The 18,474-nt window shown below is 35.4% G+C and overlaps 2 annotated features.

Annotated features, from left to right (window-relative positions):
• Positions 14,084-14,284: a silencer, noted in NCBI's record as "peak6375 fragment used in MPRA reporter construct". NCBI's record gives its function as "represses an SCP1 promoter by STARR-seq MPRAs in K562 erythroleukemia cells {active_cell/tissue: K562}" and the evidence as "EXISTENCE:reporter gene assay evidence [ECO:0000049][PMID:32103011]".
• Positions 17,474-17,674: a silencer, noted in NCBI's record as "peak6376 fragment used in MPRA reporter construct". NCBI's record gives its function as "represses an SCP1 promoter by STARR-seq MPRAs in K562 erythroleukemia cells {active_cell/tissue: K562}" and the evidence as "EXISTENCE:reporter gene assay evidence [ECO:0000049][PMID:32103011]".

An 18,474-nucleotide genomic window follows, 5' to 3' on the forward strand; every position in this document is an offset into this window, starting at 1 on the left:
ACATAAACGTACTGTAAGAAAAAGAAAAAGAACAGAAAGAGAAGATGAAAATAGAAAAAGAAAGTGACAGATTAAAAACCCTCACTAAATTAAATTAAAAATTTGCCATCAGCCAGACAGAAATTGTAATCAAAATTATCATTAATTTAAGAAATGAAATTATCAAAATTATTAAATTATTATTCAGATATTAAATCATTAAACTATTATGCAAAATTATTATAATGAATTGTAACACTAAACTAAAATTTTTAAAAGTCTAGGATTTTTATTTCAGAGGTAAAGTTTAAAGAATATATGAGAGATTATGAAAGGAGATTACATCCAAGGTGTCTAAATTTGAGCTGGCAGGGAAAGAAGAAAAAAATAATGGGAAAATTAAAACAGAGATCGCAATTTGAACTGTACAAGGGAAAGTAATCATTGCTGAAACTATGATGGTAACATTGATAATCTGTAGGTGAATTAACTAAAGCAAAATCAAATGGAAAATAGCATAAAATTAAAATAATATTTAGAAAGAAAATGACAGATATGAAAATCAGATAATGGAAATCAATAAAATGAGAGTGTCACTGAAGAGTACTGAACAGAAAGAATAGGGAGATACATACATGATAAAAAGGCAGATGATAAACGTTAGATGAGTATAAAATATATTTAAGTAAACTATCTCAAGAAAATGTTTTCAGAAATATAAAACAACTTAAAACTATATGTGTACTGGATATAGTGTTGAAATTAAAATGGGAAAATGAACATCAATACCAAAATTATTCAAAATTGAAAGAAATTTTTGAGAAAGAATGTCTATTCCATTTTTCCCCCCTTTGAGACAGGGTCTTCCTCTGTGGCCCAGGCTGGATTGCAGTGATGTGAACACAACTCCCTTCAGCCTTGACTTCCTGGGCTCAAGAGATCCTCCTACCTCAGTCTCCCAAGTAGCTGGGACTACAAGTGCACACCACCATGCCCAACTAATTTCTTTATTTTTTTATAGAGATGACGTCTTGCCATGTTGCCCAGGCTGGTCTTCAACTCTTGTGCTCAAGTAATCCTTCTGCCTCAGCCTCCCAAAGTGCTGGAATTACAGGCATGAGCCACCCTGCCTGACCCAAATAATTTTAAACATAGATAAATTCTCATTCTAGTAAAAAAGAAACAAACATTTTCTTAACACACTATAATTTATAAAAGAGTTCCCAAGAACTCTTCTGGAAGAAACTTCTATAACAAAATCTTTTGGCAAGCAAGAGATAAATTAATAAATTATAGGAAAGAGACAGATTGTAAACATTGAGTTATGATTATCACATATAATGTATTTGTTTTATACCTGAAAATGTAGAAGTAACATAACAATTAAATTTGGAAATGAATGAAAGAGAGAAACAGGGGTAACATGCATCGATCAATTTTGATATCTTAATCTTTCATAGCAAAGGTTCAAAAGATGGTATTTATACCTGACAAATTGAATAATACAGATATAACTAAGTACACAGGTACAAGTAATCATTAAGAAAAACAATGTAACCAGTTAACAGTTGGCGGCAGAGAGAAGGGAAAGGAAGTTGAAATGTATACATTTTTATTGCCCTTACTTTGTAATTAGAGAACATAGTGGATTATTGTGTTAAAATATTGTCACAAGTGTGAAACATTGTATAAAAATACACTGCAGTGCTGTTTCTAATTACAAATGGACATCAGGCATCAAAGGAGGGTGATTTCCAGACAAATGGAAAGACAACAAGGTGAGTCCTATGATCGCACAAAGTTTCTACCTTGAAAAAGTTTCCAGGTCATAGTGCAGGGATGGTGAACCCAGGTGAAGCCTGTAGGATTCCTCTGAGGCAAGAGACAAAGTTGGGAAAGCAGGGAAGCTACTGTTCACAGGAGTAGCGGAAAGGAGAGAACTACACAGGGAGAAAACTCCAGAATCCTAAAACAAGAGAATAAGTATTTCTCAATTTATCCAAAAGAAGACAAAATTTTAAAAAGAGAAAAATAGGAACAAAAAATAGATGAGACAAATAGAAGCAAATAAGATGACAGATATAAGTCAAATGACATCAGTGATCACATTAAATAAAAAATGTTTTCAGTGTCCCCAAAAAGCAGAATATCAGATGATTTTAGAACTGTTTTTCCTCGGGTATTCTGCAGAGTACCAATCAGCACAAGCCTGTGAGAAAACTAACTGAGGGTGGGGACAGGATCTTACTAAAGGATTAACACTATGTGAGACACAGGACTGGGAATAGTGCTTGTGTCACTTTAATGGTCAGATTTGAAAACCTCTTAATTCACGGGAAAATGGGTAGTATTCTCAGAAGTGTTTTGCCTAGTAATGAAGAAAATTAGGAGGACAAAAGGTGAAAAATAAAAAAGGAAAACAATCAATCAATGGAGAGGGATCCAAATGAACACAGATGTTAGAAAGTACAATCAATAACATTAAAACATTTATTTAAACTGCATTGTATGTGTTCAAAAGGATAAGTATAGACATGGAAAATATTAAAAAGACCCAAATCAATCTTCTGGGGATAAAACAATACCTGAAATGAAAAATACACTGCATGGGATTAAATGTCAATTAGAATTTGCAAAAGAAAAAAAAAAACACATAGTGACCTTGAAGACCTAGCAATGAAAACTATCCACAATGGAATGTGAAGTGATAAAATAAAAAACAAATTCAACATCAGTAATTTGTGGAACAAATTACTAATATATGTGTAACTGGAGTTCAATAAATCAGCAGGAAGGACCAGAAACATTTTTTAAGATATAATTATTAAAATGTTTCTGAATTTGGTGAAACTGTAAATGTAAACAATCCAAGATTCTAAGACTAAGAACTATAAATAAAACTATACCTATGCACATAGTAATCAAATTTCTCAAAACAAGTGATCAAGTGACACTCTTGTAAGCATTTAGAAAAGACACATTGTATACAGAGGAACTTAAACAATAATCACAGCACATTTCTCATGGAAAATGGTACAACTGAGAAGACAGTGAAGCAATATCTTTAAAGTAATTTTTAAAAACTGTTAACCTAGATTTCTACTCTCAGCAGAATAATATTTCAAAACTGTTGGTGAAATAAAAAATATTTCAAAAATATGTATGCTGAAGGGATTTATCACCAGCATACTCACACTTCAAAAAATGAATGCAAAAATGTTTACACAGAAAGTGGTATCACGTGCAAATAAAGAGCTACACACACACACAAAAATGAGCACCAGAAATGGCAAACACGTTGGTATATTTATGTATACTTATGTATGTAAGTTTTTTATTATTTCAATTTCTTTAAAAATTATTAACAGGCTGGGTGCAGTGGCTCATGCCTATAATCCTTGTAATTTGGGAGGCCAAGGCCTGTAGATCAGTCGAGCCCAGGAGTCAAGACCAGCTTGGGGAACATGGCAGAACCCCATCTCTACAAAAAAAAAAAAAAAAAAAAAAAAAAAAAAAAAAAAAAAAAAAAAAAGAGCCAAGTGTAAAGTAACCACTAAAATGACAAAACAAAGAACTATAGCATACAAGTAAAATATGGACATAAAGTGGAATTTTAAAATTTACTCACTTTATTGAAAAGACAAAATAAAAAAGAGAAAGGAACAAAGAACAGATAACACAAACATTCACCAAAATATATTCTGGGGCACAAAGCACAACTTAATAATTTAAAAAATATACACATTATAAAATGGCTGTTCATATACAACAATGGAATTCAATTAGAAATCAATAACAGTAGATTGAAAGTCCGAAAATACTTGGAGACTACACAACACACTTCTAAATACATGAGTCAAAGAAAAACTCTCAAGAGAAATACAAAATTATGTTGAACTAAGTAAAATAAAAATACAACTTATTAAAATGTGTTGGATTCAGCAAAAACAGTCAGTAGAGTGAAACTTATATCATAGAATGCATATACTAAAACATGAAAGGAATAAAATCAGTCATCTACGTCTTGCCTTAGGCAACTAGAAAAAGGAGAACAAATTAGGTCTAAAGTTACCAGAAAAAAAAATACAAAACTTAGAGCAAAAGTCAATAAAATTGGAAACAGAAAATTAACAGTGAAAAATCAATGAAACCAAAAGCTGATACTTTTAAAAGGTAAATAAATTGATGAATTTCTAGTCAGACTAACAGAAAAAAGCAAGAAAAAAAGACACAGAATAGTAATATCACTAACGGAAGAGGGGCCATCACCACTTATTCAATGAACATTAAAAGAATAATGGAGTATGACAAACTGTATGCTCACCTATTTACTATCTTAGATGAAATAAACAAATTTAGTGAAAGATACAATCTAATCAAACTCACACAAGGAGATATAGACAAACAGACCATCTGAATAGGCCTAATAGTGAATCAGTTTCAAATAACCTTCTAAAGGGGATAACACCAGGCCTAGAAGATTTCCCTGTTAAATTCTACTAAATATTTAGGAAGAAATTACTCCAATTCTACACAATCTGTTCCAGGAAAGCAGAGGGAAGACTTCCTAACTCATTTTGAGGCTAGTATTATCCTAATACCAAAACCAGGCAAAGACATTAAAAGAAAGAAAAATTACAGACCAATATCTTTCTTGAAAATAAATGTAAGTATCCTCAACAAAATATTAGCAAATCAAACCTAATAATATAGTAAAGAATTATAATCACAGCTTAGTTGTGAGAGGATTGCTTGAGCCTGTGGAAGTCAAGGCTGCAGTGAGCAGCCAAGAATTGTCTTGGCATTTTTGTTGAAAGTAAGTTCATTTATGTAAGGCTCTCGTCTGAGCTCTTCATGCCACTCCATTTGTCTAATCATCTATGTTAATACTACATTGTCTTAATTTCTGTGGCTTTATAATAAGTCTTTAATCAGACAGAATTAGTTCTCCATCTCTATTTTTTAATTCAAAGCTGGTTCCAGGTATTCAAAGCTAGTTCAACATTCATCAATGAATATAATTAATCACATCAATAAGCTAAAGAACAAAAGTTATATGATAATATCAATAGATGTAGAAAAAGATTTGACATTTTTATAACAATCATTAGCAAAGTAGGAATAAACAGAAACTTCTGCAACAGAGAAAATCTGAAAAAAAGATATATTTAATGGTGAGAAAGAGATACTTTATCAAGAACAAAGTAGAGATGCCCCTGTTTTCTCTCTTATTCAACATCTTACTGGAAATTTCAGCTTATGCAGTAAGACAAGGAAAGAAGAAAAAACATACAGATTGGGAAAGGAAGAAATAAAACTGTTTTTGCTTGTAGATGACATGATTGCCTACATAGAAATTTCTAAAGACTATACAACAGCAATCCTGGGACTAGTAATCAATTATAGCAAAGTTGCAAGTTACTAGGTAATATAGAAAAGTCAATTGTGTTCTTGTATGTAAGCAACAAACAACTGAAATTTGAATTAAACTATGCTGCTATTTACATTAACACAAAAAAGAAATATGTATAATCTTATAAAATATGTGTAAGATTTACATGAGAAAAACTACAAAGCTCTCATGAAAGAAAGCAAAAAAATTTAAGTAAATGGAGAGATACTTATGTACACAGATACAAATACTCAATATTGTTATGATGTTAGTTCTTCCCAATATGGTCTACAGATTTGATACAATTCCAACAAATATCTCAGATTGGTTAAGAAGGCTATGGGACCTGGTATACAATTGACTGGACCAAGCTGAGCCAATAAGATATAATTACTCACTCATTGTCAGTATAGACAAAGACATGGAAATGACAGTCATGCAACATTGGAACCCTGACATATATGGTGGTAACAAAGCTGGCCACAGAGCTCAAACCATGGCAACTCAATGCTATTCTGTCCTGGGCAGAAAGAGTCACAAGGGAAGCAAAAAGAGATGACAGAGGAAATACAGATTTTTAAAGGGAAGAGAATGGAGCACATGTGCAGGGAGAAGCAGAGGTGCCAAGAGAGATATACACAATTGAACTATTTTGTTGATACCAAAATACTGACTCTAAAGTTTACATAGAAAAGCAATGGACTCACAATAGCCAACACAATACTGAAGGAGAACAAAATCAGGGGCTGATATCATCGAACTTTAGGTTTTACTATGAAGCTACAGTAATCAAAACAATGTAGTATTGTTGAGAGAATAGACAAACAGATCAATGAAACTTAACGGAGAGCCCAGAAATTGATATGTTACAAAGATGATCAACTGATGAAAGGAGCAAAGTCCAGTTACTTAGGCACAATTTCTTAAAAAGACTAAGTAATTGGACACCCACATGCAATAAAAATTAACCTAGACATACACTTTAAATCTTTTAACAAAAATAATTAAAAGAGATCATGGACTTTAAGACAGAAAATTAGAGAACTTCTAAAATATGGCTTAGGAAAAAATCTAGGTGACCTTGTGTTTGGCAACGACTTTCTATATACAATACCAAAACCACAACTCATGAAAAAAAATAAATAAGCTAGACTTTATTAAAATTAAAAATTTCTACTCTGTAGAAGAATTGTTAAGAGAACACAAAGACAAGACATCAACTGGGAGAAAACATTTGCAAAAGATATATCTGATAATGGCTATTATCCAAAATACAAGAAGAACTCTCAAACATATATGTCCACTATATATAGATGGTAAATAAGCACATGAAATAATGATCAACACCATATTTGCTTAGGGAATTACAAATTAAAACAATGAGATACTATTAGATACGTATTAGAATGACTAAAATCTAAAACACTAATACCAAATGAGAGCAATTATGTGGGTCAACAGGCACGCTTTTCATTGCTGGTGTGACTGTACAGCGATATAGCCACTTTGGACATTAGTTGTTTGTTCAGTTTTTTGTTTGCCTCTTTTTTGTTTCTTTTTTTGTTTGTTTTTGAGACGGAGTCTCACTCTGCTGCGAGGCTGGAGTGCAGTAGCGCGATCTCGGCTCACTGCCACCTCCGCCTCCCAGATTCAAGCGATTCTTCTGCCGCAGGCTCCCGAGTATCTGGGAATACAGGCACCCGCCACCACGTCCGGCTAATTTTTGTATTTTTAGTAGAGACAGGGTTTCACTATATTGGCCAGGCTGGTCTCGAATTCCTGACCTCGTGATCTGCCTGCCTTGGCCTCCCAAAGTGCTGGGATTATAGGCGTGAGCCACTGTACTCAGCCCAGTTTTTATCAAAGCCAAAGACAGCCTTGCCAAATAATTCAGCAATTGTACTACTAATAACCTACATAAGTAAGTTGAAAACTATGTCCACACAAATACCTGCAAATAAATGTTTATAGCAACTTTATTAATAATTGCCAAAACATGGAAGTAACCAAGATGTCCTTCAATAGGTAAATATATAAGTAAACTCTGATTCATCCAGACAATGAAATATTACTCTGCAACAAAAAAAAAAGAAATTAGCTATCAAGCCATAAAAAGATGTGGAAGAAATTTAAATATATATTTTTAAGTGAAAGAGGCCAATCTGGAAAAAACTATATACTGTATGATTTCAACTTTATGACAGTCTGGAAAAGGCAAAACTATAGAGAGAGTAAGCAGCTCAATGTTTGTCTGGGGAATGGAGGGAAAGATAAAAGGATAAATAAATTGGTGGAACACAGGGAATTTTCAGTGCAGTGAAACTATTCTGTATGAAACTATAACAGCAGAGACAGGACATTTTTCATTTCTCTAAACTGATAGAACAATACAACCCACAGACTGAACACTAAAGTATTGACCTTCATTAATAATAATGGATCTCTATTGGTTTACCAATTATAACAAATGTACCCCACTAGTGGAAGATGTTAATAATAGGGTAAACTGTGTGCTGGGGGAGAGCCAGCATATAAGGACTTTCTGTACATATTGCCCACTTTTGTAACAAGAAAACTTCTCCAAAGAACAAGGTATATTTTTAAGAAAGAGAATAATTCATTAGACCAACTAGAATTTACTACACAAATTCAAAGTGGGGCTTATCATTCAAAACCCAATGTAACTGACCATATTAAAAATGTTAATAAACCATATAATCATTTTAGTAGAAGCAGATAATCTCATCCACAAAATTCAGAATCCATTACTGATTTAAAATAAACACTTAGGAAGCTAGGAAACATCCTCAATTTGATAAACAGCATATATGAAAAACAGACAGATAATATCATACTTAATGTTGAAATACTGAATAATTTCATGCTAAAATCAGAAATAAGACAAGGATGTCTGCTTTCACCACTGTTCAGCATTTTAGTGGAGGTTCTAGACAGGGAAATAAAGCAAGAAAGAGAAATAAAAGGCTTCTCAATTGAAAAGGAACAAATCAAGTCTTTTTATTCCCAAATGATATGATCATGTATGTGTAAAATCAGATGGATTCTACTTGAACTAATAAGTGAGTTTAACCACTATTAGGATATAAAATCAATGTAAAACACAAACTATATTTCTATAGATTAATAAGGAATAATTGAAATTTGTGAAATATATTAACATAAAAATATAAAAAAATTAGTGATAAATTTGACAAAAGAGGTACAAGTCCTTTTACACTAAAAATCATAAAATATCTCAACAAAAATAAAAGACTTAAGTAAAGGGAGAATGTATTATATCCTATCAAGGTAATAGGCCAGAATACTCAATATTGAGTAAGATATCAATTCTTCTCAAATTATTTATAGTCTACTGGAACCCCAATAAAAATCATACATCTTTTTAATTGAAATTGATAAACAGAGTCTATAATTCATATGGAACTGCAAATTTCATATATTAGCTAGCCAGCTTTGAATTAAAAAATAGAGATGGAGAACTAATTCTATCTGATTAAAGACTTATTATAAAGCCACAGAAATTAAGACAATGTAGTATTAACATAGACGATTAGACAAATGGAGTGGCATGAAGAGCTCAGACGAGAGCCTTACATAAATGAACTTATTTTCAACAAAGATGCCAAGACAATTCATTGGGGAAACGTTAGTCTTTCCAACAAATGGTACTGAAACAATTCCATATTCGTATTTCTTAAAAAATCTTTGATTCATATCTTGTACCATAAAGGTTAACTCAAAATTGATCATAGAGCTAAGTATAAAATCTAAAACTCTCAAATTCCTAGAAGAAAACTTGGGAGCAAATCCTTGTGAACTTATTTTATGGGAGTATTATTTAGATATAACAATAAAATGTACTCTGTCAAAAAAGATTGACATACTGAACTTCAGCAAAACCAAGCACATAACCATAGCAAGTGTTGGTAAGGATGTGGAGTAGCTGGAGCTCTCAAATAGTTCTGGTGGAAATACTAAATTGGGAAATCACTTAAAAAAATTATTTGATGTTTCTTAAGAAGTTAGAGATAAACCTACTATATGATACAGTCATTCAAATCTTAGCTAATATAACATATGTCTATAGAAAGAGTTTTATGTAAATGTTCATAGAACACTTATCTGTAAGAGCCACAAACTGGAAACAGTTCAGATGTCCATTAATAAATGAATGGAAAAAAACATTGTGATAAAGCCATAACCATGGAATACTGACATCAAAAGAGTAAAGTATTGATAATTGCTAGGACATGAATGAATAGCTAAGTAAAAATGCTGAAGCAAAGAACATAGGCAAAAAATAGTATATACTGTCTGCTTCAGTTTATATGAAACCCTATACACTTCATACCAATCTATAGTAACATAAAGCAGAAGAGTGATTGACAAGTGGGAGTAAGAATACTCAGAGACTTGAAGGGAAAGATTATCAGAGAACAACAGAAAATTTTTTCAGTGATGAATAATTTCATTATCTTGATTGTGACAATAATTTCAAAGGTACATACAAATGTTAAAACTTATCAAATTGAACCCTTTAAGTAACTGCAGTTAATTGTTAATGTAGCTCAACGCAGCTGTTTGGTTTCTTTTTAAAGACAGGTAATTTAGATGACAATCAGGATTTAACTAGCTATCCTTTCTCCCAGAGCAAGGGATAAAACTAACAATACATATTTTTAAAATTAATACGAGCGCCTTCATTTAGATATAAACTCAGTTGCACAAATACTTAGTCTTCAAAGCTTTGCTTACAACAAATTTCAAAAAGATAGTTAATCGGTTTCTATTAGGTACCCTTTAGAAAGCTAAGAAAATTTTCTTCAACTCTTACTTTGCTAATCCTATATTTTAGGTGAAAAATAAATGTTAAATATTATGAAATATCCTTTCAGTATCTTTTAAAATTATCAACTGCATTTGTTTATTTATTTATTTTTAGACAGGGAGTCTGTCACCTGGAGTGCAGTGGCGTGACCACGGCTCACTGCAACTTTGACTTCCACAGGCTCAAGCAATCCTCTCACCTGAACCTCTCAAATAGATTGGACCACAGGTGTGCACCACTACCTCTGGCTAATTTTTCTTATTTTTTGTAGAGACAGGTTTTTGCCATTTGCCCAGGCTGGTCTTGAAATTCTGTGCTCAAGCAATCTGCCCACCAGCCTTCTGAAGTGCTGACACTACAGGTGTGAGCAACCACACGTGGCCATTAACTGCGTTTATTTAGTAAATCACATTAATAATTTCCAAATGTTAACAAGGTAAGATTTTGTTTTTTGCTTGTTTATATAAGGAGAGTCAAGAAAGAAAAGAATAAATTGATAAGGAGGAACACTACAGAGGAACAAAATTACACCATCTCAACAAGATTCTTCCCCCGTATTCTTCTCTGAATCTCCTGAACGTGCATGAAACATCAATACAAACCAAATACTTGATGACAAAATTGACATATAAAGACTAAATCTAAATCTGATGCCCAGAATATCCTAAGTATTCTAATAGACTAAGTAAAATTTATTTAACTATTCTATACTGCATTCCCCTTATCAGTAAAATAAAGATAATTGTATGTGTTTCACAGGTGATTTTAGCATGTAATTAATACATGTAAAATACTTAAAATGGCACATAATATGTAGTTAATCCTCACCAGTTTCAGATAGTTGGCACCTATGGAGTATATCCAGTTCTCAGGTTTTAAGAACAAGGTATTTTTGATATAGCTTTTCTCTCTGCTTCTGTGTCTGTCTCTTCCTCTTTCTCTCTCTTGCTCTCTCTCCATTTTCTCTCTCTCCATCTCTCTCTTTTCCTCTTTCTAACACACACACCACATACAGCAATGATAGAGATTTATCATTTTACACTGAAAAAAAGTGGACTATCAGAAATAAAATTTTTCCAAGGCTACTTTAACACAGAACTGAGCCAGGAATATAGTTAAACCTGCAGACTCCAAGTCTTTTACTTTTTGACTACAGTTTTGAAAAACAAATATTTTATTATATTTTTATAGGAAAAGAAAGGATGAACTCGGAAATCCCAACAGTCTCACTGCTTATTTGCCATTTGTATATTGTCTTTGGTAAAGCGTCTGCTCAAATTTTTCACAATTTTTCGTGGGTTTATTTTCTTGCTGTGGAGTTTTCAGGGTTCTTATGTTCTATATACAAGTCCTTGTGAGATATGAGATTTTTCACATGGTTTCTTCTGTTTTGTAACTTGTTTTTTCATTTTCTTAACAGTGTTTTTCACAGAGCAAAAGCCATTTTTTTTTTTTTTTTTTTTTTGGCGATGGAGTCTTTCTCTGTCTCCCAGGCTGCAGCTGCAGTGCAGTGGAGCTATCTTGGCTCACGGCAACCTCCGCCTCCCGAGTTCATGTGATTCTCCTGCCTCAGCCTCCTCAGTAGCTAGGCTTACAGGTGTGTGCCACCACAGCCGGCTAATTTTTTGTATTTTTAGTAGAGACAGGGTTTCACCATGTTGGCCAGGCTGGTCTTAAACTCCTGACCTCAAGCAATCCACCTCCCTCAGCCTCCCAAAGTGCTGGAATTACAGGCATGAGCCACCGCACTCAACCAAGACTTTCTGTCTATATACGTGTGCTCCTCAAAATTGAAAAAAAAAATGAACTAAATAACAAGAGGAATTTATAATCAATTATTACACAGTTATTTAAGACAAACAGCAAGAAAACATTGAAGCTTTAAAGAAATGGCAATGCCACAGAAAAATTATATTAAGTGTAAATATCTCAAAATACAAAATTTTACTTGCATGTTTATATTAAGTGAAACGATTTCTGTTCAAAAAAGTAAGCATCATATAAAAGTCCTGATGATGGCTAGTTATTTGATTTGAGTGGTTTTACATCTACTTTTAAAATGTGTTTACTTTTAAAATTTTATATTATGAACAATTATTCATTCTGCCAACCCAATCTGTTACAAAATTTCTTGTGAGAATTCCACAAATTTAACTGCTATAGAGGAATTCAAGTTCACTGAAGACAGAAATTCAGTAAGATGCATTTTTGAAATACAGTGCGTAAAAGAATGTCCCACACTTGAATGAAACTTGATAAATGTTTATGGAATTGAATTAGCTTTACGTTATGTGTGTTCTCATTGAATTTTATTTTCAATGCAACAATATTTGTTTTACTATACTTTATATTTTAATATGACCATTTTGCTCACAGACCACTATAGTCTAGAATGCAAGGAGCCTGCTATTTATAGATACTTCATGTCTCCAGCAAAACACATATATTTTATTTATTGTAGGTTCTCAATAAATAGAGTCAATTTTAAAGCACCATTTTAAAAATGATTTAAATAATGAAGTGATTTCAAAATTTCCATTGGATTCAAAAATGTACTCCAAAATACTATTTTATTTATATGTTTTAAAATTCATTTTTAGTCATTTTAACGTGTGGAACAAACATTTTCTCTGACTGGACATAGCTCATCTGCTACTATGCAAAAAGACTATTTTAACCTGCAAAACATAATATAAACATTTGTTATCACCTATTCTTATAACTGCGTGACTGTATAGTCTAATGACTGCTTCCTTTTACAAAAAACTCTTCCTCACTGTCCTAAGTCAGCAGCAAATTAAAAGAAAAGAAAGGTTGGAGGGAATAATTGGTGAGTATGCAATGTTGCTATTGCCCTCTGTAACAACAGAGAAGCTACTTAACTCAAATGTGTCGTAGTGCTATTAAACTATGGCGCATTCATTATTCTTCACAACAACAAAATCCCCTTGTAATCAGGTCAGAGTTGAGAGAATGTGGTTGTATTCTAAACATGAAGCATTTTTAATGTGGTTGACTTGGCCAGATTTACTATGCATTTCATCACTAGATGTTGTCATGCATATTAATTTTTCTTTTTTTCATATATCAGTTCACTCTTTTCTAATTAATTCACATTTAGAGCATCTGACTGATCACAGGAGACAACTTTGTAATTAATTCAGCCTGCTCATAGAGGCAAGTATTTTCAATTAAAAAAAAAAAGAAAGAAAAGAAAAGAAATACTATTGATGATTTTCTCAAGAACTATAATGGACCCAGTACTATCATTTTACCACTACACGAAATTGCCCTCTTCAAAGACACTAATGACCTCAGTGTTGCTGAATCCAATGTTAGTTCATCAACCAAAATTCTTTTGACTTTTTTGCAGTGTTCTGTATCATATCTCCCTTTTTGAAAATTCTTTCACCTTGGTTTCAATGTATACTTTCTTGGTATAGTTTCTTCTCACCTTGCTGTGTGTAACTTCCCCAAATATTTTTGGGATTCTTTCATTTATTTACCCATTTCTTATTATTTTTCTAATAGTTCTGCTATTAGCCATCTTCCCCTTTAACTCTAGTGGTTAGTCTTGCCCTCTCCCACGGCTTCATAACCATTTATACACAAATGATTCTGGAATCTACATTTACAGGCAGAACTGCAAAAAGCATGCATACCAACTAAGGAGAAGGCAAGCCCAACCCTTCAGAGTGAAAACTCACCATAAACAATAGGCAAGGCTAGGCTATTGAGTACTGAGAAGCAGCCTTGTCTGCAAACCAGATCCTTCTTCTGAGTTCCAACCCTGATCTTATACCTCTCAAGAATAGAACCTTCAAACTAAGTGTATCAGTGATCTATTGCAGTGTTACAAACCACTCCAAGACTTTGTGGTTTGAAGCAAACACTTATGAGTGTGCGGGCAATTATGCAGATTTACACCAGGCTCACCTTATCACAAGTGGACTTCCTCATGTGTCAGCATATGAGCCGGGATGGGGCCTGGCTGGACTAGGATAGGCTCACATGAAATAAGTCAAGTTGATCTGCTTTTCTCTCAAATCTCTCTAGCAGGCTAGTCCAGGTTTATTGCGATGGTAGCAGTGGGGATCCAAGAAAGGAAGTAGATTGCACAAATACATTGTCAAGCCTCCGCTTTTGCCACTATCCCAAAATGAATCACATCACCAAGCCCAAAGGGATTAATTGAGGACACTAATGTAATCTATCGACCCAACTCAACATGTCAATATCACTACTTACTATTTGTTGCTTTACCTCTTCTTCCACTCTGGACTGCCTATGTTATTTTCCAACTGGATCAACTGCCTACATTTAATAAGTCACAAAATTCTGTTGATTCTACCTCACAGACATTCACTGCTTTCTCAAGTTTCTTCCACATATACTGCTGCTATGGTGAGTTCCCATCTTTCACCTCAATACTCTAATTGGCCATGTCATCCCCAAACGTGACCCCCGAAATCTATCTTTTACATAGAAACCACTTTGGTTCAGATATTTCTGAAATATAAATGCTATCAGGAAACAGCATACAAGAAGCAGTTTTTTCTTACCCTTAGCATAAACTTCATATATGACTAATACGAACTTTGATGATTGGGTGCTTACATTCCCACCTTTATTTCTAGCTCCTTCTCTTCTCAAATTTTATGATCCAGCTATAATGAATTACATTTAGTTGTTTTGGATAAACCACACACTTATTTGCACGTGCTTTTTGGCTAGAACTCACCCTTACATGACTAATAAAGAAAAGAGGGGATTAGCTGTGTTCTGTATACATAGCCAAGAAGTTAATCCAGGATTTGAAATTTTCTGAATGTAAGCAAGAAATAAAGTAATTTTACCTAGAGTTAACTACTGTAGGTAAATGGTGTTCCACTATCAATTGTTGAGTAACAACCAATCCAAACTCAGTGGCATAAAATAATTTTAATTTATTATGCTAACAGAATCCATGGGTCAGATATTTGGACAGAATAAAACAGAGACGGCTTATTTCTGCTCTGGAACCTCAGCTGAAAGCTTCAAATGCATACAAAGCTCCCAAATCCTAGCTACTCTACCTTACTTGCCATATATATGCTGCAGCATGTATAAATGTCCCTGTCCGTGCGCCCAACTCCCTTTGTAGCCCTGCATAACAGCTTTCTCTCCTTTGTAGCTATAAATAGCAAAGGGTTCTGCCTTTCATCTCTCCCAGTATAATTGTGTTGTATTCCACCATCAAAATGATGGCAGTGTGACCCATCTAGAGTGGCTGCTGCCATGACACCCCTTCTGAATTAGCAGGGTGGGAGCCTCTTGCTCCCCAGCTACAGCTGTGGCTACCCAGTCATGGCTACAGACCGGGGCATCCCTGTGATCTTGGGGGCTGGGAGCAGGCAGGAGACCTACCCTTCTGGGTGCAGCTATAGCCATCCAGCTGCAGCTGTGGACCTAGGCATCTCTGCACTCTTGGGGGCCCAGGAAGGCCCCCTCCGCATGCAGGCTCAGAGGTGCCTGCTTCCACTGCCTGGCCTCTCCCCACTCTTGGCACCTGCTCCAATCTTGGAGCAGAATTGGGGCCCAGTCTAGGCACCGTTGCAACCTGGCCGGGTGTGTGCATACCTGGGGCAGCAGTAACATGCCACCCCTCTGCTTCCCCAGCCCCCTCCAGACTTTGGCCACCAATGAGCATGGAAGGGAGGTTAAGGGGGGCTGAGGGCAGCTCAGCCCTGACCTGCAGGTGCCCTCGACATGAACAGCCTGGGCACCATGAACACTGGCAAGATGCAGACAGACTCCTGGACAGAAGGAGTGGGTCCCCAGTAAAGCCCCACTCAGGCCCAGAGAAGGCCTGAAGCCTGCCTGGGGCCAGGCTTCCAGCCCCCATGGACTAAAGTGGAAACCTATGGTGCTTTTTCTGGGCCTACCCGTAGCCACCCATGGACTAATCAGCATGAGCTTTCTCCCCTCTAAAGCCTATAAAAACCCTGGACTCAGCCAAACTTGAGGAAGCAATGGGACAACCTGTCTATGGAGAGGAGTCCCCCTCCACAGGGTCCCCTCTCTGCTGAGAGCTGAGATGATGGATTGAACAGCTGCAAAGAGGACCAACTCACCCCAGGGTCTCTTCTATGCTGAGAGCTGAACACCCATCAGGACACCCTGGCCACGGAGAGGAGCTGCCATCTGCAGGTCTCCTCTGAGCTGTTCTATTGCTCAGTAAAGCTCCTCTTCACCTTGCTCACCCTCCACTTGTCCACTCACCTCATTCTTCCTGGACACAGGAAAATAACTCGGGACCCGCCGAATGGCAAGGCTGAAACAGCCATAATACAAACAAGGCTGAAATATGCCCCATGCTCGCCATGTTGTGGGTGACAAGAAGGAGAGAAGAGAGAAGGAGGGAAGAGCTGTGGCCCTCTGGGGAGCCCAGACCTAGGAGCTCCACAAGCTAGGGCTGTGATACCCTCTTTGGGGCTCTGTGGTTCCTGGCATCTCCAAGCTTCCAGGTGCCACCTCATTACCCAATGCCAGCCATGGAAGCTGCTTGTGGTACGCCTGGTGCAGCCAAAGACTCACAGGGTGCTGGCGTCCCTGCTGGCACTTGGAGCTGCCTGCCCTACGACAGCCAGTGTTCCTGGCTGTACACAGTGGTTGGACCCCACACTCACTCACTAACACACACGCTTCACTGCTCTGCTCTCCCTTGGAGGCATGGGATCCAGGCTGGTAGCACAAGCTGTGCACAGCCTGTTCAGGCTGAGTGAGCCTGAGAAAAACTCGGCAATGGTGCCACTGGCCACAGAGGTTTTCCAACCCGAAAAGCAACACCTCAAATATCCTGTAATGAAAAGCATCTTTAAATCATACAAAATACCAAGTCTTTCCTCATTTTCAACACAGTAAATATTAAATACACACACAAACACATATACACATATGCAAATATATACTATACTTAATTATATGTTAGCTTTCTCATATATGTTTAGATATATATGTTTAGAGATATATATATATATATATATATATATCTCTAAACATATAAGTATATAAGCACAGTTTTAAAATATGACTATTCCTCAATCAGTAGAATGGGCTTGACAGAGCAGAAGCACCATCATCTTGGACAAATACCACCACTTAAGGTTCCAGCTCCCTTTCTAATCTCATGCATTTCAAGGAAATCACTTCTCTTCTAACAACAAACAGCCAGAAAAAAACAGACAATAAAACAGTTAAGATAGTTCCAGCACAGAGGGAGGGGGGAAAGTCTCTTGGGTAACCATCAAACTTCACACTCATACAATGGGCCCCAGTAAAACAGCGGGCCCTAATAAGCACATTCCTTTCCCTTCAGGTGCAGTAAGATAGCGAAGCTAAAAGGAGACTTGGGGTATATGCCTGCAGCTGCAGGAAAATGTATGGAAAGAGACACAAAACTCTCCCTCCCAGATAAGTAAGACAAAGAGACACAAACATTCTGATCCTGTGATAAGCCCCCTGCCCTGAACCCTTAAAAACTCTTAGTCTGTAACACAGAGTACCTCTGACCTAACTCGGCCAGAAGCCCCTCTGAGGTTTATTCTCCAAAACAAACCTGTCTTTGACTGTTGAACCACTTTTTGTGTTTCTTTCCTCTTTCTTTCTTTAAGAATTCAAGAGAGTTCCTGAAAACCTATTTATTAAAGTTTGAGTAAAGAATTAGCATATTAATGCTTCAATTCAGCCATAAATAATAAAACTCGAGTGATAGTAGAATAAAATAATGAAAGTATGAACCCATTCCTGTTTATATTTTTACTTGAAAGTGGGAAATACAGACATAACAGTTTACTACATATTGTGAGATTATTAGAAAATACTTAAGTGACAATATTTTATTATTTTTTCAAAACTTAACTTTAAATATTGAAATCTATGTTTTGCCAGAATTTTTTTTTAAAGAATACTTTTTGTTTCTAGAAACCTCAATTCATGTAAGTTGTAACTTTGCTGAGCCTATGTTTTATCACTTCTAGATAAGGCTTAAATAAAAGATGACCTATAGGACCTCTGAAGTACCACTGAGCTATGAACTATTTTATTACATTTGATCAAAACTGGATGTATCATCTCATAACTAACCCACATGCTCTTCCACTGTTGGTATATGAAAATCTAGACCACACACATGAGCTTATTCTAGGCTAGTAATTTCCAAATTATGCTTTCTAAGGCTCTAGTGGTTCTTTCAGGAGGCCCACAGGCCTACTGG

Source organism: Homo sapiens, chromosome 7 (assembly GCF_000001405.40).
Source record: "Homo sapiens chromosome 7, GRCh38.p14 Primary Assembly".
NCBI classification, from domain to species: domain Eukaryota; kingdom Metazoa; phylum Chordata; class Mammalia; order Primates; family Hominidae; genus Homo; species Homo sapiens.